This window comes from Homo sapiens, chromosome 7, assembly GCF_000001405.40.
Source record: "Homo sapiens chromosome 7, GRCh38.p14 Primary Assembly".
Lineage (NCBI taxonomy): Eukaryota > Metazoa > Chordata > Mammalia > Primates > Hominidae > Homo > Homo sapiens.
Window position 1 is genome coordinate 151,630,951 of NC_000007.14, and position 23,242 is coordinate 151,654,192.

Sequence of the window (23,242 nt, forward strand, 5' to 3'; positions counted from 1 at the left end):
CTTCCAGCTAACATGTTTGTGAAATGCTGCAGTGAATCTCAAAGATAACAGGCACCCGGCTAATTCTATTGGGTTAACACGTCCATGCTGGCTGTGCAGGCTTATTTAAGTAATTGCCTGACTGTGAATGAACAGAGGTATTAAAGTAAAGTTGGCACAAGGGACAGCATCCACATGGCACGTTCTTTGTTTCGAGAGCTTTATTCTATCAATACTCCTGGAAAAAAGAGAAGTTGCTAAATAAATAATGGAAGCACACAAGACAGTGTGAACGCCTTTTCAAGTCCTCGAATTGTCAAGCATCTTATATAAAGTTCTTTCCCGACTCTGAGCTCATCACATTTCATTTTACATATTAATTTTGCGTAAGAGCAAGCTCATCCCGTTCAAATGTTAACAGCTTCAAAATAAGATCCTGGTGAAAGCTCGTCACATTCCATTTTAAATATTAATTTTGCCAAAGAACGAGCTCATGCCTTTCAAATGTTAACAGCCTCCAAATAAGATCCAAGTTATTTACCTGTAAGATACAAGAAGAAGACAGGAGAGGGAAAAAAAACAACCAAGTGAGAGGAGAGGCGACAGAAATGACGGAGTGAGAGGGTCGCCTGAACTCAACACCGATTCAATAACCTCTTCAGGTTTTCCTATTTAACTTTCCCCATTAAAAAAGAAGACACACCCTACCGGTCATATCTTCACAGGCGCAGATAAGGGCACCAGTCTATGATTAAAGGGTCTGGACTGTGGGTATGATTCGGGGTTGCCTCCGAGTGCATGGTGACAAGCACAAACAATTAGCGCTCCCTGACACCTTGCTGTAATTCGAGTTCGGCGAGTAAGGACAAAAGGGCCGCCCGTCCGTGTGGATGCCGGGCTCAGGGCTGCGCTCTGGGAGCCTGGCTCGCGTCCCCTCCGCGGACGCCCGGTACCCCGCAGCCCGAGCTCGCCGGCGCCCGCATCCCCGCCCCGGTTCCCGCCCCGGCCCCTGGGCTTCCGCAGGACGCAGCTCGCCGTGGGGCAGCGCCGGAGATGGGGCGCGGGGTCCCCGCGGGTCCCGGTCCTCGGGCGGCCGGGCCGTGGGAGCGCCGGGCCGGCAGCGGGCGGGGCGCACTCACCTTCGTCCTCGAACTCCAGCTTCTCCAGCATGCCGGCTTCCGCGGGTCCCAGGGCCGCCGCCAGCGCCGCCTGAGGGGGAGGAGGAGGACAGCGATCAGCATGAGCTGCGACGCTCGTCCCCGGCCGGCGGGCTCGCGGCCGGCCGAGCGCTGGGGCCTGGCTCTGCCGCGCCGCCGGGAGGAGGGGCCTGGCAGGGGACGCGGGCAGCGGGGGCCGGGGGCGGAGCGGGAGCGCTGCCCCCACCCGCCCGAGGCCGCCGCCGCCGCCGCAGGTGGCGCGGCCGCGGCCCGCGTGCCCCTCCGCGAGTGGGACGCGCCGCTCCCCCCCGCGCCTTGGTACGGCCCGCCCGGGAGGAAGCGTGGGAAGGGACCCGGGAGCTCGAGGGCGGCAGCGCCTGGGCCCGGGGCGCCCCCCTCCGGCCGTGGCCCGCGTCCTCCCCGCCGTGCCGCCATTGGGAGAGGCCCGCGGCCCGCCCCCACTCCGCCCCCCGGCGCCGCTCACCTTCCCAGCACCGGCGGCCGCGCTCGGCAGGCTCCACCTGCGCAGGTGTGGGCTCCGCGGCGCGGGGAGGGGGAGAGGGGCTGGAGGCTGCAGAACGCCCCGGGGCGCCAGCTAGGGGATCCTTTCTCGCTTTCCTCTTCCCTTTCCAAATTTTAGATGTAACTGCCCATCCTCGGCCCCCTTAACAAAAATCGTTCCGTGGGCTACACGTATTGTAGATGCACTTTGTCGCTATCCATTTTTTTTTTTCCAGCATGGAACTCTTAATTCGCGTCCTCTCTTCGCAGCCGAGTGTCTTCTCGGTTGGGGAGCCGCTGCCAAAAACGTACACACCCTGAATCTGGCCCTGGCCGCTCAGGAGCTGGGTATCTGAGACTCTACTATGGCCAACTCAGGTTGGCAGGCTGCGCGGCCAGCAGCCGCTAGCCTCCTGGAAGGGCAGGACAGGCCGAGAGGGGACTGAGGTCCCTGGCCCCACGGCCCATCCCTGCAGAGTGCACGGGCGCCGCGAATGCGATTAGCTCCAGTACCGATTAGGGCTGAAAGGAGCTTGGCCCTAGCGCTCTTGCAAGCCGGGCCTGAAAGAGGAAGTCCTGAAAATGCCTCTCGTTTAGCTTTGTCATCTTACTTGCGCCAATCCCTAAGTCTTAAACCTCTTAAAAAAAGAAAAGGGGTGGGGAGAGAAAAAGAAAACAAAACTAAGATGTTTCATGGTAAAAAGCTACAGCAGATACCATACTTCATAGTGAAAGACTGTTTTCCCTATGAAGTTCAGAAACCAGGCCAGGGTGTCTGCTCTCACTAATCCTATTCAACATGGTTCTAGAAGTACTAGGCCCTGCAATAAGGCAAGAAAAGGAAAGAAAACGCATACAGATTGGAAAGGAAGAAAAACACCTGTGTAGATAACATGTTATCTACATACAAAATATCAAAGAATCTACAAAAGAAAGAAAAAACTCACCTGGAATTAGTGAGTTTGGTAAGGTCATAGCATACAAGATCAACACACAAAAATCAATCACATTTCTATAAACTAACAATGAACACATGGAAAAATATATAAAACAATATCACTTAATACAATCACTTCAAAGAAAATTAATACTTAGGCATAAACTCAAGAAACCATGTATAGTAGCTGTATGCTGAAAATCACAAACTGTAGATGAAAGACGAGCTAATAAATGGAGAGACAGTCCTGAGCTGGAAGCCCCAACATAGTAAAAATGACAATTCTCCCCCAGATTAATCTTTTGGTTTAATGCAATTGCTACCAAATTAGGGTTTTTTTTAAAGACATAAATAAGCTTATTCTAAAATTTATATGGAAAGGTGCAAGCTCTAGAATTCTATTTATTTATTTATTATTTTTTTGAGACGGAGTCTCGCTCTGTCACCCAGGCTGGAGTGCAGTGGCGCAACCTCGGCTCACTGCAAGCTCTGCTTCCTGGGTTCACGCCATTCTCCTGCCTCAGCCTCCCAAGTAGCTGGGACTACAGTAGAATTCTTTAATCTTGAAGTCGCTTAATATTAAAGCAAACTATATAGATACAGCAATCAAGACAATGGTATTGGCAGAAGAATGGATATAATAATCAATAGAAATAAATAGAAAACCCAGAAATAGACCCATGCAAACATGGCAAACCAATTTTTGATGGAGGTGTAAAAGCAATAGAACTGGAGTAATTGGATATCAAAAGGTAAAAAGACAAAAACAAACCCCAACCTAAGCCTTGCGTTTTACACAAAAATTAGCTCACATTGGATCGTGAACTTAAAACTATGAAACTTTTTGGAGAAAATATTTGGGAACTGGGGCAAGGCAAAAGTTAGACTTGACACCAAAAACACAGTCCATAAAAGGAAAAACATAAATGGACCTCATTAAAATTAAGAATTTTTGCTCTGCGAAAGACCCTGTTAAGAGGATGAAAAGAAAAGCTACACAGTAGGAGAAAATACTTGCAAATCACATAGCCAACAAATTACTAGCACACTGCCTATAGGGTTAGCCCTGCTCTCCAAGGAATAGCAAAAATAAAATAAAATAAAAATGTCTGGAATACATAAACACTACCAATATTAAACAGAAAATGGAGAAAATAATCCAATTAGAACATAGGCAAATGACACAGAGCTGTTTCACCAAGAAAGATATACAGATGGCAAATTAGTGCATGAAAAGATGTTCAAAGTCATTAGCCATTATATAAATGCGAATTAAAACCACAATGAGATACTACTACACAACTGTTAAAATGGCTAAAATCACAATAGTAACAACATCAAATGCTGGTAAGGATGTAGAGAGACAGACAGGATTACTTCTACACTGCTGGTGGGAATGCAAAATGGAACCACTGTTTTTTTTTTTTTTTTTCTTTTTTTTTTGAGACAGGGTCTCCCTCTGTGGCCCAGGCTGGAGCGCAGTGGACCTATCTCAACTCACTGCAACCTCTACCTCCCAGGTTCAGGCAATTTTCCTGTCTCAGCCTCCTGAGTAGCTAGGATTACAGGCACATGCTACCACAGGTCAGCTAATTTTTGTATTTTTAGTAGAGATGAGGTTTCACCATATTGGTCAGGCTGGTCTTGAACTCCCGACCTCAGGTGATCTGCCTGCCTTGGCCTCCCAAAGTGCTGGGATTACAGGCGTGAGCCACTGTGCCTGGTCAGGAACCACCACTCTTAAAAACAATTTGGCAGTTTTTTATAAAACTAAACATGCAACTACCATGTAACACATCAGTTACACTCTTGGGCATTTATCCCAGGGAAATGAAAACTTACATTTACACAAAAACTTGTACATGAATATTCATAGCAGCTTTTTTGCAACAGTGCAAACGAAATAACAGATGTCGTTCAATGGATGAATGGTGAAGCGGGCTGTGGTAGGTCCATCTATACCGTAAAATACTACTCAGCAAGAAAAAGGAAGGAACTACTGACACATACAACAACTTGGATAGATCTCCAGGGAATTATGCTGAGGGGGAAAAAGCCAGTCCTAAAACGTCATATACTGTATGATTCCATTTATATTATAGTCTTGAAATAAAATGGTCGAAATGGAGAACAGATTAGTGGATGCCGGGGATCAGGGGCTGGGGTAGGGGGCCAGAGGTGCCTATGGCTATAAGAGGATAATGTAAGAGATCCTTGTGGTGACCGAACTGTTCTACATCTTGACTGTATCAATGTCAATATCCTGCTTGTGATATCACCCTGTATTTTTCCCTATGAGTCAGGCCAAGCTGATTTAATTCTGTGGAGGAAATGACAATAAATTTTTTTTTTTTTTTTTTTGAGACGGAGTCTCGCTTTGTCCCCCAGGCTGGAGTGCAGTGGTGCCATCTCAGCTCACTGCCAGCTCCACCTCCCGGGTTCACGCCATTCTCCTGCCTTAGCCTCCGGAGTAGCTAGGACTACAGGCTAATTTTTTGTATTTTTTTTAGTAGAGACTGGGTTTCACCGTGTTAGCCAAGATGGTCTCGATCTCCTGACCTCGTGATCCACCCGCCTCAGACTCCCAAAGTGCTGGGATTACAGGCATGAGCCACCGCGCCCAGCCAAAAAAATCTTTACTGAAATATAATTCACATACCATAAAATAACTCACCCATTTAAAGTGTGCAGCCCAGTGATTTTTGGAATATTCAGAATTGTGCAACTATCTAAGTTTACATTTTCATCATCCCAAAGAGACAGCTTGTACCCATTAGCAGTCACGTCCCATTACCTGCTCAACCCTCACACCCATCCCTAGGCAACTATTTCCTGTCTCTATGGATTTGCCGATGCTGGGTATTTCTCATCAATGGGATCATACAATAGGTGGTCTTTTGTGACTAGCTTCCGCTTAATGTCAGGGCCCATTCACATTGTAACACGGATCAGCACTTCATTTCTGTTGACTGCTGAACGATACTCTGTTGTGTGGACACACACACCTTGTTTATCCTTTCGTCAGCTGATGGGCACTCAGGTGGTTTCCACTTTTTGGCTGTGGTGAAAATGCTCCTATGGACATTCCTGTGCAAGTGTTTGTGTGGACATGTGTTTCATTTCATATATACAGGAGTGGAATTGCTGGGCCACAGGGTAACCCTATGTTTAATATATATATATTTTAAATTTAGTTTTGAAATGGAGTCTCACTCTGTCACCCAGGCTGGAGTGCAGTAGCGCGATTTCAGCTCACTGCAACCTCTGCCTCCTGGGTTCAAGTGATTCTCCTGCCTCAGCCTCCCGAGTAGCTGGGACTACAGGTGCGCACAACCATGCTCGGCTAATTTTCATATTTTTAGTAGAGATGGGGTTTCACCATGTTGGCCAGGTTGGTCTCGAACTCCTGACCTCAGGTGATCCACCCGCCTCAGCCTCCCAAAGTGCTGGGATTACAGGCATGAGCCACCACACCTGGCCTCTCTACATTTAATATTTTGAGGACCTGCTGAACTGTTTTCAAGGTGGCTGCACCATTTTACATTTTTACCAGCAATGTATGAGGATTCAAGTTTCTCCTGTACTGTTTAGTTTTGCAAGATGTTACCACTGCGGGGAACTAGGTAAAGGGTGCACAGGATCTCTCTGCATTATTTCTTACAACTATATGTGAATATACAATTATCTCAAAATAAAAAGTTTAATTTTTAAAAAAAGTTTTTTAAAAAAACTTGGAGTGAGCCAAGGTACACAGGAAGTATCTCTCGTTCTAAGTCTATGCTTTTGTCTCTTGCAATAATTTAAAAAAATTCTTACCGGTGTTTATGATAAGCACCATCAATTTCACCTGTAATCGTGAGGGGTTGTTTTTTGGGAGGCAGAAATGGGCAACAAATGGCAGTATGTACGTCAGGAGGACCGCAAAAGTGGTTCACAGACTGAAAAGACCTATAAACCATCACTACAGAAGTTGGTAGAGAGTAGAAATTCTAACAATTAATGTTTTATGCAACTCCACTTGATAATGAATGGGTGTACAGGAGTAGCCTAAAATAAAAATGTTTTTATGTAATATGCTAGTGGGATTGAATTTATTTCTACAGGTTTTTTACTTAGTAAGAAATCTTATGTTTTCTTCCTTAGAAAGGAGGCTACTCATGGAACAACAGAAAAAGTCATGAGGTTTTTTTTTTTTTTTTATAACACACTAAGTCAATTTCAGGAATTTGAGGGCTTTTACAGTTTAGGTATGTACATTAATGTGCACAGGGTCAAAAGACAGACGAATTTGTCAGCACACAGAACTTGAAGCTGGTGGTCGTCGTTGCCCTTTTATGGCAATGTTTTCTTAAAGTCTCAACAGACTTATGCCAGACTTAATTTTAGCTGTTTCAGGCAGGCAGGGAAAGCCGGGAGAAGAGGCGAAGGGAGGGGAAGGGCGTGGGCAATGTCATGCAAGCAAAGGGAAGGGGCGTGCACTTGTGACACCGACTCCTCTCTCAGTCCATCAGCATCAGGGATGTTTGATGTAGCAAAAACAGACCAAATCCACCACCCAAACCCTCCTGATAATCCAGACCGATCTCCCCAGGGAGAACAAAATGGGCCAACCATGGCAGGGAGGAACTGGGTTCTGCTAACAGCCTGGCACAGTTCCACCACAGGGAACATTTCCATTTATATCACATCAGCCAGTCTGAGGTTACTGGACTCTAGTGTGGTGGGAGGGAACAGAGGGACCCAAGTTGGACTTTATGGAGAGAATGCCTGAGAAACATGGAGCCATCACAAGTGTGACTTCTTGGTTGGTAAAAAATGCTAAATTATTATCCCGGCATGGTGGCTCATGCCTGTAATCCCAGCACTTTGGGAGGCCGAGGCGGGCGGATCACAAGGTCAGGAGATCGAGACCATCCTGGCCAACATGGTGAAAACCCCGTCTCTACTAAAAATACAAAAATTAGCCGGGCATGGTTGCGCACACCTGTAGTCCCAGCTACTCGGGAGGCTGAGGCAGGAGAATCGCTTGAACCCAGGAGGCGGAACTTGGAGTGAGCCAAGATTGCACCACTGCACTCCAGCTTGGCGACAGAGTGAGACTCTGTCTCAAAAAAAAAAGCTAAATTATTAAGTTGTGTCTTACATAATTGTGCCCAGGTGCAGCAAAACACTGTATTTTGAATGACTATCAGAAGGGAAAACTTCAGCCTGAAAACTTAATCATAAAACAATTGCCAAAAAAGCACTCCTTTACGCACAGAGGTCGGATATGAGTTTGCTCTGCCTCTTAAAAGAAGTCTTAAATAGCTCCTGCAAGAAATAAATCAACCTCAAATACTGGGTAAGGAGCTCCTGAATAATTTAGCATACAGAACTCTTAGTTTCTGTGCATCCTGCTGTCTTCCTTGAGCTCCACTCTGCTCTGCAAGGGCGTCCTCCAAAGAGTAAAGAACGACGTGAAACCCCCTGGATGCTGGACAGGAGCTGCACATGCACTCTGCTCCCGTTCCCACTGGGCATTCTCCAGGCAGCTCCAACCCACCACTGTGCCTGACATGTCCAGGTCTCAGTCCCAGCCCAGCCCTCTCCTGAGCTCCACACTGCCATCATCTCCACTGGAGTTTTCTACACCAACGCAGATGCACTTCATCTAAAACTGTGCCCCAGTCCTCTGGGTCTTGCCGTCTTGGTTTCTTTTGAGACAACCCACTTGTCTCCATCCCTGCTACACCTCCCCTGTTTCAGGCTTCCATTTTCTCAGGGTTGGCCAGCCGGGCAGCTTGAGCTCCTCCAGTCTTGCCCGCTTTCCAGTCTATTTCCTTCCGTGTAGCCAGAGTGCCTATGATGGTTAAATTTGAATCCAGTCATCTTGACTGGATTAAGGAACACCTAGACAACCGGTAAAGCATTATTTCTGGGTGTGTCCGTGCAGGAGTTTCCAGAGACTGGCATGTGGGTCAGTGGACTGAGTGGGGAAGATCTGCCTCCAGTGTGGGCGGGCGCCATCTAATTAGCTGGGGGCCTGGAGAGAACAATAAAGGTGACAGAGGATTTCCTTGCTCTTTCTCCTGGAGCTGGGACACTTTCCTCTTCCTGCTCTTGGGCATCAGAACTCCAGGCTCTCCTGCCTTGACACTGGGACTTAACAGCAGCAGCCCTCTGGTTTTCAGGCCTTTGGCCTTGGACTGAGAATTACGCCACTGGCTTCTCTAGTTCTGAGGCTTTCAGACTTGGACTGAGCCACGCTACCATTACCTGCATCCCAGGGACTCCAGCTTGGAGATGGCCTGTTGTGGGACTTCTCAGCCTCCATAATCCCATGAGGCAATTCCCCCAATAAATCCCCTCTCATCCATCTATCAGTCAGTCAATCAATCAATCAATCAATCATCTATTATCTATCTACCTACCTCCATCCGTTTCTATCATCTATCTATCACCTATTGGCTCTGTCTCTCTGAAGAACCCTGACTGATAAGAGTGACATTTTAAAAATGTAGTCTTGGCCAGGCACAGTGGCTCACATGTGTAATCCCAGCACTTTGGGAGGACGAGGCAGGTGGATCACCTGAGGTCAGGAGTTCAAGACCAGCCTGGGCAACATGGTGAAACAATGTCTCTATGAAAAAAACAAAAATTAGCCGGGTATGGGGCATGCACCTGTAATTCCAGCTACTTGGGAGGCTGAGACACAAGAATTGTTTGAACCTGGGAGGCGGAGGTTGCAGTAAACTGAGATCCTGCCACTGCACTCTTGCCTGAGTGACAGAGTGAGACTCTGTCTCAACAAAAACAAAAACAAAACAGACTTATTATTCACTAACTTAGAACCATTCAGTGGCTCTCGGCAATCTTTAGGATTTTCTTGGCAAACTCCTGAGCTGGGGGGAAGGGCCTGATCATTTATTCACCTTCTCTTGCCATGTCCCTCTGTGTACCCCACACCTAAACCTTAAGGCATTGTCCTGGAATAGACCATACACTCCCTGCTGTAAGGGTTTCTGAGCATTCTGGCCTCCTTGTTTCTTCCTCCTTTCCTTGGCCAGTTCTTACTATTTTTAAAGATTCAGATCAATCTTTCTCTGAAAGCCTTTCCCGATTCTTTTCTTTCAGTCTGCTTTTCCTCCTTCCCCCACCGCCTTCCTTCCTTCCTTCCTTCCCCGATTCACGACCTTTTCTCACAACTTGCCTGGTTAATTACTTCTCTGAACCCACATGCTTCCATATGGCATTTAACACACTGGCTTGGGATTTACTTTTCTGTTTCCTCTGAGTCCCACATTGCTCTCTGAAGGGAACGAATGACTCATCATCCTTGTATTGCCTGTGTGTGACACATAGTAGGCATTCAAAAAATATTTGAGTGAAATGAATTGTTCATTCAGACATCCATTAAAACTTGGTAGGGAAACAGTTGATTTTAGTAGCATAAATGGGTTTAGAAGTTATTTCACTCAATTTACTCATGCTTCCCTTGGACCTCATTGCTGTTTGGAAATCATTATAGTCACTTTCCCTTTAGTGTTGGAATTAACATTTTGAAGGAAAAAAAGTGACTGTGCCAAGAAATGATGGCAGGGTAGTTTTTATTGTAATAGATTCTATCTGAGGACCAAAGTTCGCTGGCAGTATGAGATCCTGGCATGGATACTGGCTGAGAGCTTTGCCAGCTCTTGCCACCACCCTACAATTTCAGCTTTTTTGTTCCCTTCTTTTTTCCTTTTTTTTTTTTTTTTTTTTTTGAGATGGAGTCTCGCTCTGTTGCCAGGCTGGAGTGCAGTGGCACGATCTCGGCTCACTGCAATCTCCACCTCCCTGGTTCAAGTGATTCCCCTGCCTCAGCCTCCCAAGTAGCTGGGACTACAGGCGCACACCACCACACCCAGCAAATTTTTTGTATTTTAGTAGAGACAAGGTTTCACCATGTTGGCCAGGCTGGTCTGAAACTCTTGACCTCAAGTGATCCACCCACCTCAGCCTCCCAAAGTGCTGGGATGACAGGCAGGAGCCACCAGAACCGGCCCTTTCTTTCTTTTTTAAGAGACTGGGTCTTGCTCTGTCACCTAGGCTGGTGCAGTGGCACAATCATAGCTCACTGTAACCTTGAACTCCTGGGCTCAAGTGATTTTCCCATCTCAGCCTCCCAAGTACCTGGGAGTGCCAGCACGTGCCACCATACCTGGCTAATGTTGCCCAGGCTGGTCTGAAACTCCAGTGCTCAAGTGATCCTCTTGCCTCAGCCTCCCAAAGCACTGGGATTATAGGCATGAGTGACATCACCTGGCCAATTTTAGTTTCTGTTAAGGGAAGACAATTGATTTTTAAAAGTAGTGTAGAAATTTGAAAAAAATCTCAAATATATATTCAACACTATGAGTATTAATTCTTGGCCACATGCAGTAGCTCGGTCTGTAATCCTAGCATGTTGGGAGGTTGAGGTGGGAGGATCACTTGAGCCCAGGAGTTTGAGACCAGCCTGGGCAACATAGGGAGACCCCATCTTTAAAAAAAAAAAAAAAAAAAAAAAGGGGCCAGGCGTGGTGGCTCACACCTATAATCCCAGCACTTTGGGAGGCCGAGGCGGGTGGATCACGAGGTCAGGAGATCGAGACCATCCTGGCTAACACGGTGAAACACTGTCTCTGCTAAAAATACAGAAAAAAAAAAAATTAGCCAGGCATGGTGGCAGGCACCTGTAGTCCCAGCTACTCAGGAGGCTGAGGCAGGAGAATGGTGTGAACATGGGAAGCAGAGCTTGCAGTGAGCCAAGATCGCGCCACTGCACTCCAGCCTGGGCGACAGAGCGAGACTCCATCTCAAACAAACAAACAACAAACAAACAAAACAAAAGGTAGCTGGGCATAGTGGCTCATGCCTGTAGTCCCAGCTAGCTACACAGGAGGCTGAGGTGGGAGGACTGCTTGACTCCACGAGTTCAAGGCTGCAGTGAGCTGTGATCACACCACTGCCCTCCAACCCGGGCAACAAACTGAGACCACCCCACTCCCCAAAAAGAAGTGTATTAATTCTGCTGATTGCTTTTAATCAATATATTTGGAGAGAAGGTTTTGTTCATTTTGACAGCTTTCTGAATAACAATTTCAGATGCTATAAATATTAGTTCCTCCCTAACATTCATGATTTCTTTAAAGATAATTTATTCCACAGTATCTTTTCAGAGAGAGTAGCAACCAATTTGTCCAGCTCAAGTCAGCTGAAAACCTGTTTCAAAGGAAGTATTGTTAAACAAAAGGTGAAGAAAATTGATTAACCCAAAAAGTCCTTTGGATTCTCTATGTTAAATTATCTTCGAATTTCCAAAATAGGAGACAATGGTAAGCTTTTGAAGACAGTCATTCATTCAGCAAATACTTACTTAATATGGGCTATGTGCCCAGAACCAGGGTAGTTGGTTAATAAAATATCTGTTGAACGAACATGTGCTAGCATGACTAGAAATTGGCATAGAAGATATGAAGAAGGAGCTCAAGGAACATGGAGAATCAGCATGATTGCCTTGCTACCCTTCAAATTCATTCGTTACAGTCTGAAATGCATACATCTCTTGCCTTTCACAAATAAATCCATTTTTTTGCCAATCAAAATATTTTATTATTAGCTTTGTGTTTAACATGAGTTATTGGGAGCGGAATATTTATATTCTCTTATAGGTTGATAACTCTTAGTATTGTCTTATAATACATTGCAAATAAAAAAATAAGTAATGCTCACCAAGTTCATCTAACCTTTCAATTCTTAATGCAGCCAAGTCACAAACTTTGAAATATGTTGTATTTATATTAGAATGCAATGTACAGAATGATATAGTGTCACAAGGCAGTCTCTGTTTTCTATTCTCTGCTCCCTCCCCTGCAACTGACCTATTCATTAACCCTTTCTAGAACAGATCACTGTTAACTGTTTTTCAGCCCCTTTAAATCCCATATTGGGTGGAAGCTCTATTCCTAAATTGGTGAAAAATTACAAACATGATTGAGACAGACTACTTCCACTTCAGTTCTGCTCTACATAACGTGATCAAAAGGAAGTACAATATTCCAGCTGAAATTAAAGGGACCCACTAATGCCTCCACCACATCTTCTACATTCTGGAGACTTCAGTGGTCTTCATTTACTATCCACAGTGTTACATAGCCACTTATGGTGGATTAGAGTGAACTGCAGACACAGAGCCAAGGAAATGGAGAAGCAGGACCTTCATACCTCATAATGCAAATCCTTTAAAGAATGATTTGTAGTGTCCCTTTTTGTTGTGTGTAATTTACCAACAATAAACGATTTCTATTCCAAGTGTACAATTTGATGAGCTAGGATGAAATCATCAGTACAATTATACGATGGAATACTATTCAGTCATAAAAAGCAATAAATTAACAGCATTTGCAATGACCTGGATAAGACTAGAGACTATTATTCCAAGTGAAGTAATTCAGGAATGGAAAACGAAACATTGTGTGTTCTCACTGATATGTGGGAGCTAAGCTATGAGGACGCAAAGGCATAAGAATGATACAATAGACTGTGGGGACTTGGAGGGAAGAGCGGAAGCGGGGCAAGGGATAAAAGACTACAAACATGGTGCAGAGTATACTGCTCGGGTGATGGATGCACCAGGATCTTACAAATCTCCACTAAATAACTTACTCATGTAAGTTCATGTAACCAAATACCACCTGTATGCCAATAACTTATGGAAAAATAAAATTTAAAAAGTAAATAAATGTTAAAGAGAAAATTAAAAAAATAAAATATAGAGAAAATTTTTTTATCACTCCAAAAGTTTGCTCATGCTCCTTTGTGGTTCACCCCTTCTTCAAGGCAACCACTGATCTACTTTTTATCACTATGTCACTATAAATATTTCCTAGAATTTTGTGTATATGGAATCATACAGTATATGTGCTTTTGCTCCTGGATTATTTCACTTAGCATAATTATTTTGCCATTCATTCATGTCGCTCAGTATACCAGTAGTTTGTTCATTTCTATTGCTAAGTAGCATCCCATTCTATGGATAGACCCCATTTTGTCTATTCATTCACCAGTTGATGGACATGTGGGATATTTTCACTTTTTGACCATTGGGAATAAAGCTGTGAACATGTGTGGTCAAGTCTTTGTAGGAACATGCTTTCATTTCTCTTGGGCAAATACCAAGGAGTAGAATGGCTGAGTCATTTGGTAGGTGTGTGTTTAATATGAGAAACCACCCATTTCACAGACTGGCTGTACCATTTTACATTTCTGCCCAAAGTGGTTGAGAGTTCCAGTTGCTTCATGTCCTCATCAATGCTTGGTATGGTCTCTTAACATTTTTTATCATTTTAGTCATTCTAGTGGGTGTATAGGTTTCTTGCTGTGAGTTTAATTTGCATTTCCTTGAGGACAATATCTTTTTGTGTTTATTGGTAATTAATGTGTTTTCTTTTGTGAAGTGACTGTACACATCTTTTGTCTATTTATTTATTAGAGTTTTTGTTCTTATTGAGTTGTATGAATATGGCAAGCAGACTCTGAGATGGCCCCCAATGCATGATCCCCACCTCCTGGCATTCATGTACTTGTGTATCCCTCTTCTTGAGTGTGAGCAGGACCTAGTGACTTACTTCTAGCCAACAGTATTCAGCACAGGTGATGGGACACCACTTCCATTATTAAGCTTCTGTCTATATACATAAGACTGTGGCTTGTCTTTCTAGCAGATCACTATCTTGCTGGCTTTGGTGAAGCAAGCTGCCATGCGGGAGAGGCCCATGTCAATGAACTAAGGCTCTCAGTCTAACCGCTTGCAAGGAACTAAACACTGCCACTAACCACATGAGCTTGGAAAGGGATCCTTCCCCAGCTGAGCCTTCGGATGAGACCCTGGTCCTGGCCAACATCTTGATTGCAAGCTTCACAAAAGAGCCTGAGGCAGAGGACTCAACTAAGCTGTACCTGAACTTCTGACCTACAGAAGCTATGAGATAATCAATGCATGATTTCAGCCACTAAGTTTGTGGTAATCTCTTACACAACTAGATAATACAATGGGTTTTAAAAAAATGCATTTAGGATGTAAGTCCTTTGTCAGACACATGTACTGTGAATAGTGAATATTTTCTCTCCTTCTGTGGCTTGCCTTTTCATATTCCTAGTCATGTCTTTCAAAGAGCAAGTTTTTAATTTTGATAAGATCCTATTTATTATATTATGACTCATGCTTTTTCTGTCCTAGCTAAGAAATCTTTGCCTCCTCTTCTTCCAAGGTTGTGAGGATTGTCTTAAATGTTTCCTTCTAGAAGTTTTACATTTTCCTTTTACTAGGCCTAGGATCCATTTTGATTTAATTTTTAAATTATGATATGTGGCAAGGGTTGAGGTTCATATTTTCCATACTGAAATCCAATTGTTCCACATTGCTTGTTGAAAAGATTTTGCTGCCTCACTGGATTCCCTTGGTACCTTTATTTAAAATCAATTGACCATATATGGGGATCTATTTCTGGATTCTCTATTTTGTTCATTGATTTATATCTATACTTTCATCATGACCACACTGTTTTGATTACTGTAGCTCTATAATAGGCCTTAAAATCAGGTAGTGGACATTCTCCAACTTTGTTCTTCATTTAAAAAATGGCTGTGAGTCCTTTAAGTTCCTTATGTTTCTATATACATTCCAGAATTAAAAATAAAACCTACTGGAATCTTGGCTGGGACGGCATTTGATCTACAGATCAATTTGGGAAGAAATGACAACAGTATTAAGTGTTCCAATCCATGATCATGGCATATCTTTCCATTTGTTTAGCCCTTTGATTTCTCTCAGCAATCTTTTGTAGTTTTCACCATGGAGGTCTTACATATCTTTTGTTAAATTTATTCCTAAGTATTTATTTTTTGATGCTCTCATAAATGAAATTGCTTATAAAATTTCATTTCCCAATTGTTTGCTGTTAGCATATAAAAATACAGTGGATTTTCATACATTAACCTTGTATCCTGTGACCTTGCTAAATTCACTTGTAAGTTCTAGTGGTAATTTTGTAGATTTCTTAGGATTTTTCTGCATAAGTAATCACATCATCTACTGCCTCTTAAATTATTTTGCAATTCCCCGATACTGTATAATTTTAGCTATGTGTTCAGTGTATTATACATAACTCTGATTCTTATCAAAATGTATCATTTTAGTTATTCCTTGGCTCATACATATAAAATATGTACTATATGTTACACATATATGTAATATTACAGATTACCTATGTCATATTACACATGGATAGATGGATATCTGCTGCTTTCAGCTCACGTGCACAACCTCAGTAGTGGTATCCACCATTTGACGTGTGCACACTGGAGCCAGCTGGAGCGGGTACTCATGGCTGCCTACTTGGCATCCATTCCTCTTCCTCTACCTTCCTTCCTAGAATAACCCAAATGCTGTTGCAGTATATATGCTTTCATGATAGTGACAAGCTCTCTCGAGCTACCCTGGGCTACCAGGGAGGACTCAGGGTTGGAGAGAGCCAGACCGCACATGCATGTGTGCACAGCCCCGTCCATCCCCTGTTCTTGCCACAAGCAAGCATGCAGCCCTGACTGCTATTGAGAAACAGCCTTCAGATGAAGCCATTGCAGAGAGAGAGAAGAACGTGGGTCCTAGGTGACAGCATTGAGCAGGGCTGTATCTCACCTTGCCTGGGGCCTGGCCTGCTTCTGTACCTGTATGGATGATACAATAGATGTCCTTATCCTTCAAGCCAGTTTGAGTTGGAATTCTCTGCTGCTTTGCAGCCAGAAACAGCCTAGGTAACATTTGGGTATTCAATGAGATACAGGCCCGGCCCTCAGAAGGTTATATTCTAATTAGGTGACAGTTATAATTGGGGAAATCAGATTTCTGCATATGTCACACTGTAAAAAATTACAAAGTAATTTAAATAATAAAAAGCTATAGCGACTGCATTGTGGGCACAAATGCTAAGGAAACCTTTGAGAGGAAGGCTTCCTACAGAGATGTGCAGAGGCAGATTTTGAAGGGAGCAAGGAAAGGTGGACATTCGGGTGGCGGCTGTGGCAGAGGAAGAGCCTGAAGGTCAGGATGTGCTGATGGTCTTTATCTGAGAGTAGAACATTCTTGTAGAGAAGTGAAAGAAAGATTGGAGACCACTGGGAGTGAAAGGAATGGAATTGGATTTCTTAGGATTGCATGTAAGAAGTGAATGTAGATAATCTCAAATCGTTTTTGGCAATATAAAAAAATCCTAATATCTGCATACAGTAGAGAGGGTTGGCTGCAGGAGAGCCTGGAGTCAGCGGGGACATTGAAGACGTCTTTACAATGAATGTAAAAATTAAGCGAGCAGGTCAGAGGTACTGCAGAGATAAGAACAGTTTCGACTTTGTGGATTAGGAAGTAAATAGGAAAGAGATTGGGAATGTCAGGGAACAGGGATTGAATGGGCCTGTGTGAGGTAATAAAGGGGGAATGCTGCAATCAATCTGTTAAACTTCAGCTATTACAAGGCTGTCCAAAAAAGTACCTTTGGTGTGTAACTAGAGTAGCTTCCAGTGTCATTTGGCGGAGAGGAGGGGTGGGTGGTGTGGATCATGCTGAGGAAGAATGACAGAGATTTTTGATTCATCAGCTATGCCTCCCAAACTTTGGACAGGTGTCATTCTATCATATCCCCATACAACCTACACAGTTATTTAAATTGACTTAAACCCCCAAGTCTTCCCTTAGGCAACAATTCCATGAAATCATAGGTTTTGCTGTTTCAGATATATTTTTCCATGATATACAAAAATGTCGCTATGAAAACGTTCATCCTTGTACCGCCTGAAAGCATCTTGCATCCCACCGTGGTCCTCATGCCCCCTGCTTTGGGAAAACTGGTGTGTGAGAACAAGCGGAGTCAGCATGAAGGGCTGGGGCACCCGGGAAAAGCACGGAGACATTGCTAGGAGGGGCCGGTGTCTTCTCAAAGGGTGAAAGGGAAGAGACATCGATTTAACAAGCAGCCCTAGTAGCTGCAACACAAAGGCATTTGCTATAATTGGAAGCTGAGAAACCAGGCTTTAGGGAATGAAAATCTAAACCAGTGTTTTTAAAACTGTAAACTGTGACCCACTCATGGGTCATGAAATCAATTATGAGTCAAGTACTGTAAAATAATAGTTTACTTTAAAATGAAATGTAATAGAGGGCTGGGTGCAGTGGTCCATGTCTGTAGTCCCAGCTACGTGGGAGGGTGAGGCAGGAGGATGGCTGGAACCCAGGAGTTTTAACCCAAGGCAACATAGTGAGACCCCCGTCTCTTTAAAAAACAGAAAGAAAGGGGAAAAATCAGGTATGTGAGAGAGGACCAGGATTTTTTTTTTTTCCTTTTTATGATCAGAGACTACATAATAAAGAAATAGAGTGTACATCTTCGGATGCCTCTTGACCGAAAGACGTAGTCATTCATATGGGATATGAGTTAAAGGAATGTTCTTGTCACTAAATGTGCTCAAATTTCCCTTCACCCGAAGAGCAAGTAGCCAGTGTCTGTACTAAGTTAGACCTGAGGGAAGGAATGATTATTTTATTTTATTTTATTTTATTTTATTTGAGACGGAGTCTCATTCTGTTGCCGAGGTTGGAGTGCAGTGGTGTGATCTTGGCTCACTGCAACCTCCACCTCCCAGGTTCAAACGATTCTCCTGCCTCAGCCTCCTGAGTAGCTGGGATTGCAGGCACCTACCACCACACCTGGCTAAGTTGTGTATGTTTAGCAGAGATGGAGTTTCACCATGTTGTCCAGGCTGGTCTTGAACTCCTGATCTCAAGTGATCCTCTCACCTTGGCCTCCCAAAGTGCTGGGATTACAGGTGTGAACCACCGTGCCTGGCCAAGACTGCATTTTTAAGTTGCAAGTAATATGGTGAAAAATTAGTGTGTACCAACTTTTGTCATGTTGGTTGTGCTTGATATGGTTTGGATCTGTGTCCCCACCCAAATCTCATGCCCAATTGTAATCTCCAGTGTTGGATGTGGGGCTGGTAGGAGGTGATTGGATCATGGGGGCGGTTTCTCATGAATGGTTTAGCACAATCCCCTCAGTGCTGTCCTCGTGATAGTCAGTGAATTTTCATGAGAGCTGGTTGTTCAAAAGCATGCAGTGCCTCCCCTCCTTCTTGCTCCTGCTCCCGCCACGTGAGGTATGTGCGGCCCCTTCACCTTCTGCCATGATTATAATTTTACTGAAGCCTCCAGAGAAGCCGAGCGGATACCAGCATCATGCTTCCTGTACAGCCTGCAGAACTGTGAGCCAATTAAACCTCTTTCCTTTATAAATTACCCAGTCTCAGGTATTTATAGCAATGAGAGAATGGACTCATACAGTGCTTTTTAAAGGGATATGCAGGTATCTAATTCTACATATCTGGAGGAAATGTCCCCCTCACCTCCCCGACACACACCCCTGTATGTGTTGCAAAGCGTAATGACTACTTGGTATTTCTATTTTCTTTTTAAACAGCAAAAATTAAAAAGAAAATTAGCCGGACACGGTGGCACGCGCCTATAGTCCCAGCTACTCAGGAGCCTGAGGCGGGAGGATTGCCTGGGAGGTGGAGGCTGCAGTGAGCTGTGATCACATCACTGCACTCCAGCCTGAGTGACAGAGTGAGAGAGCCTGTCTCAACAAAAAAGTTTAAGAGAAAAATGGTAATGGTTGACTATTTTCCTGCTGAGAAGTGGGCCTGGGTGATAGCGAAACCCAGTCTCAAAAAAAAAAAAAATTTAGAAGAAAAATGGTAATGGTTAATGATTTTTCTGCTGAGAAGTGGGCAATTACGCAAACTTTACCTCTAGGGAATGGTTTGCATGTTAAGATTGGAACCAGAGCAGGGGAAGGGGTTATGGTCCTAAATCCTACCAAACTCAGCAGTTCCTGTCGCTGTGTTCCTAAAGATCTGTGGATGACAGTAATGCTTGACAACAGTGACATATGCTGACACGCTATACTAGCAGTTTGAAAACTGGCCAGAGGACTCCTGAGGGTCCATGAAACCTTTTCAGGGAGTCTACAGGTGGAAACTTTTTGTGCCAACACTAAGGCGTCATTTGCTTTTTACCCACCATTGCTTTTCCCCATCAATGTCAGCACCGTGGCAAATTCTGGTGCCTTAATTCACATCAACAAGGCAGTGGCAAACTGTGACAACCTCCTACTCCAGGGGAGAAGGCCAGTGTCACTTAAGAAGGTCTTTGATAATGCCATACATTTATTCATTTTGTCAAATCTCAGCTCTTGAGTATGTGTCTTTTTAATATTCTGTGTGATGAAATGAGAGGTGCACATATAACTTTTCCGTTGCAAATTATGATGATGTTCTTGAGGAAAACATGTGCAATTGAGCTGCTTTTAAAACCCTGAAAAATTGTAGTTATTTGGACCTGGGTATTTGGTAGACAGTTTTTTTTCAAAATGAATAAACTGAGCCTGTCACTGCAAGGAAAACAACTGACATATTTGTTGTCAATGATAAAGTTTGAGTTTTCAAGCAAAAATTAGAATTTTGGAAACCTTGTGTCTGCCACGATGAGCTTGACAATTTCCCCATACTTAGAGATTTCTCTGGGGAGATTAGTGGTGTTATTAAGAAATGCTTTTTAGTTATTGTGTAACAAAATGTGTTCCTATTTGGAAGATCTGCATTAGTCAGTGAGCCAATATTTTCCAGATGACTAATGCATGGTATTATAAAATCATGCATGGGTGAAAGATCCATTCGAAATACAAGATAGGGCTGGGCACGGTGGCTCATGCCTGTAATCCCAGCACTTTGGGAGGCCAAGGTGGGCAGATCACTTGAGGTCAGCAGTTCGAGACCATCCTGGCCAACATAGTGAAACCCCGTCTCTACTAAAAATACAAAAATTAGCTGGGCTTGGTGGCGAGTGCCTGTAATCCCAGCTGTTCGAGAGGCTGAGGTAGGAGAATCTCTTGAACCCGGGAGGTGGAGGTTGCAGTGAGCTGAGATTGCGCCACTGCACTCCAGCCTAGGCAACAGGGCGAGACTCCACCTAAAAACAAACAAAAAACCAAAAATGCAAGATAGATGGACAGATTCTAACATAATAGACTCTAGGTAAGTAGGCTCCGAAAAGTTCAATGATATGGTGTCAGATTACACACTGCGGCTAACCTTCAAGAAACTACCACTTGTCCTCTGGGTTCATCCATGTTGTCACAGATGACATCAGGCTAAGTGAAATAAGCCAAGCACGGAAAGACAAGTACTGCATGAGCTCACTTGTAGATTATAAACAGTGAAACTCATAAAGGCAGCGAGTAGAATGGAGGTTCCAGAGACTGGGGCTGGGGTTGGATGGGGAAAGGCAGGAGGCTGGCCAAAGTGTACAAAGTTTCAGTTTCATGGGAGAAATAAGTTCTGATGTATCGCACAGCACTGTGACTACAGTTAATAATAAAGACTGCTAAGTGTAGATTTTAAGTGTTCTCACAAAGAAATGATAGGTATGTGAGGTGACAGATACGTTAATTAGCTCGGTTTAATCATTCTGTATTGTATACACATATCACAGCATCACAGTGTACCCCATAATTATATACGATTTTTATTTAGCAGTTAAATATTTAAAAAACCCCACCACTTGTCAAGAAGGCTATCCACAATTATCTGAAGAGGTAAACCAATACACTCCTCTCTTTTTTTCCAACCGCCTATCTGTCTGAGGCTCGATTTTCTTCATGTGCTTCAACCAAAACAACATATGGCAACAGACCGGGTGCTGAAGCAGATCTGAGAATTCCACCGAATTCTTCTAACCCAGACATGAAAAAGCTTTGCAGCAATGTAAAAGGAGTTCTTTTTCACAAAGATGGATTTATGCTAATATGTAATGAGTTTATTACTGATCTTTTCAGATAAATTAATATTTAAAAAGTTTTAATTTATAATATGGTAAATTCTTTTTCTTTTTTCTTTTCTTGTTTTGCTAATCTTCTCTGTATCATCCCAGTTTTAGTATATGTGCTGTCAAAGCAGGCACACAATATGGTAAATATTAGTAGATGGAACCCAATATCCAAAAAAGCCCATTGGGTCTCTTTTTTCTTTTTGAGATGGGGTCACCCAGGCTAGAGTACAATGGCATGATCGGGCTCACTGCAACCTCTTCACCCCCAGGCTCAAGTGGTCCTTCTCATGAGTGGCTGGGACTACAGATGTGAGCCACCACACCTGGCTAATTTTTCTGTAGTGATGGGGTTTCACCACGTTGTCCAGGCTGGGCTTGAACTCCTGGGCTCAAGCGATCTGCCCGCCTCAGCCTCCCAGAGTGTCAGGATTACAGATGGAAGCCACCACACCCGGCTTGTTTGGGTCTCAATAATTATGAGTACACAGGGGTCCTGAGACCAACTGATTTGATAACTACTGAACTGCCGTACAGCAAGACCTCAAGCTCAGAAATAACTCAGGCGCTAATGAAAGTTAAAGGAAATATCCCTTTCCTCCTTTTCTCTGAACTTAATGCCCTAGAATTGTGTGAGGTATCAACAGAAAAAACTTTAATCATCATAGCAGAGCCTAGTACAGCTATAATCCAAATTTCTACTACCTTCTATAAACCAAGAGGTCCTGTTCCCTTTATCTCAACCACATCATTAGTAGTGTTTTCAGTGTGAAAAAATTATCATTAAATTTGCTTGTTAAAAAAAAATACGTTAGCTTTTTGCCTAAATACCACATACATATTTTAAAGTGCAAGGGGTTTTAGACTATTCTAGTGCTGATTAATATAGCTTCAGTCCCCTTTAGATCGAAAACAGGAAAAAATTTGTCCTTATGAGTACTGGATAATTAACAAAATGTACATAATTTAGTTATTCTCACCCACCGATACGACAACCTGGATAACCTCAGGCTACTAGAATCCAAATCATGGGTTGGAAATGCAACAGAGAAGCAAACAGGAATGGGTTGAAAATTCTTTTTTAACATGTTACAGACTTGGGGCTGGGTGCAGTGGCTCATGCCTCTAATTCCAGCACTTTGTGAGTCTGAGGCGGGCCGATCACCTGAGGTTAGGGGTTTGAGATCAGCCTGGCCAGCATGGTGAAACCAAGTCTCTACTAGAAATACAAAAATTAGCCAAGCATGGTGACGGATGCCTGTAATCCCAGCTACTTGGGAGGCTGAGGCAGGAGAATCACTTGAACCCTGGAGCTGGAGGTTGCAGTGAGCTGAGATTGTGTCACTGCACTCTAGCCTGAGTGACAGAGCGAGACTCCATCTCAAAACGAACAAAAATCTTACAGACTTGGTACACGTCTCGCTGCAGATAAGCCCAATCCTTTCATATACTCATAATGACAGAAATCTGTCAAATTTCTATTCCTCAAAAGAGACTGAACCCTACTTAAGTTGATAAATACCCTTATATGCAATATAATTTTACTTGTTTAAAAATTATCATAATTATTTTAGATGTTTTAAATCATGGTGTTTTCAAAATGAGGATAATTTCTTTGTGTTTTATAGATGCTGGGGTTTTCTTTATCTGTTTTTGGACAGACAAACCCATCCTTTTGAAATAGTCATACAGTGTTCATTGGCTGATCATAGATATGCCAACCAGGAAAGCCTT

The 23,242-nt window shown here is 43.6% G+C and overlaps 1 protein-coding gene across 33 annotated transcripts in view, besides 3 other annotated features; it reads right to left on the bottom strand.

Moving 5' to 3' along the window:
• PRKAG2 (protein kinase AMP-activated non-catalytic subunit gamma 2) overlaps nucleotides 1-23,242 on the bottom strand; it is a 320,989-nt gene that overhangs the window by 74,824 nt on the left and 222,923 nt on the right. For 20 of the 33 annotated variants that reach the window (NM_001407023.1, NM_001407022.1, NM_016203.4 and 17 more), the window contains one exon: nucleotides 1,119-1,188. The exons of 4 other annotated variants lie outside the window; for them this stretch is intronic. In NM_001407023.1, the coding sequence (NP_001393952.1) occupies nucleotides 1,119-1,188 (70 nt within the window). Of the gene's footprint in view, nucleotides 1-687; nucleotides 931-1,118; nucleotides 1,284-1,620; nucleotides 2,162-23,242 lie in introns of those variants that run through there. 9 more of the 33 variants (NM_001407040.1, NM_001407036.1, NM_024429.2 and 6 more) reach the window with 4 other exon arrangements.
• Nucleotides 643-742: a silencer, noted in NCBI's record as "silent region_18822". NCBI's record gives its function as "represses an Ori minimal core promoter by ATAC-STARR-seq in GM12878 lymphoblastoid cells {active_cell/tissue: GM12878}" and the evidence as "EXISTENCE:reporter gene assay evidence [ECO:0000049][PMID:35858748]".
• Nucleotides 893-1,762: a silencer, noted in NCBI's record as "silent region_18823". NCBI's record gives its function as "represses an Ori minimal core promoter by ATAC-STARR-seq in GM12878 lymphoblastoid cells {active_cell/tissue: GM12878}" and the evidence as "EXISTENCE:reporter gene assay evidence [ECO:0000049][PMID:35858748]".
• Nucleotides 2,133-2,482: an enhancer, noted in NCBI's record as "active region_26868". NCBI's record gives its function as "activates an Ori minimal core promoter by ATAC-STARR-seq in GM12878 lymphoblastoid cells {active_cell/tissue: GM12878}" and the evidence as "EXISTENCE:reporter gene assay evidence [ECO:0000049][PMID:35858748]".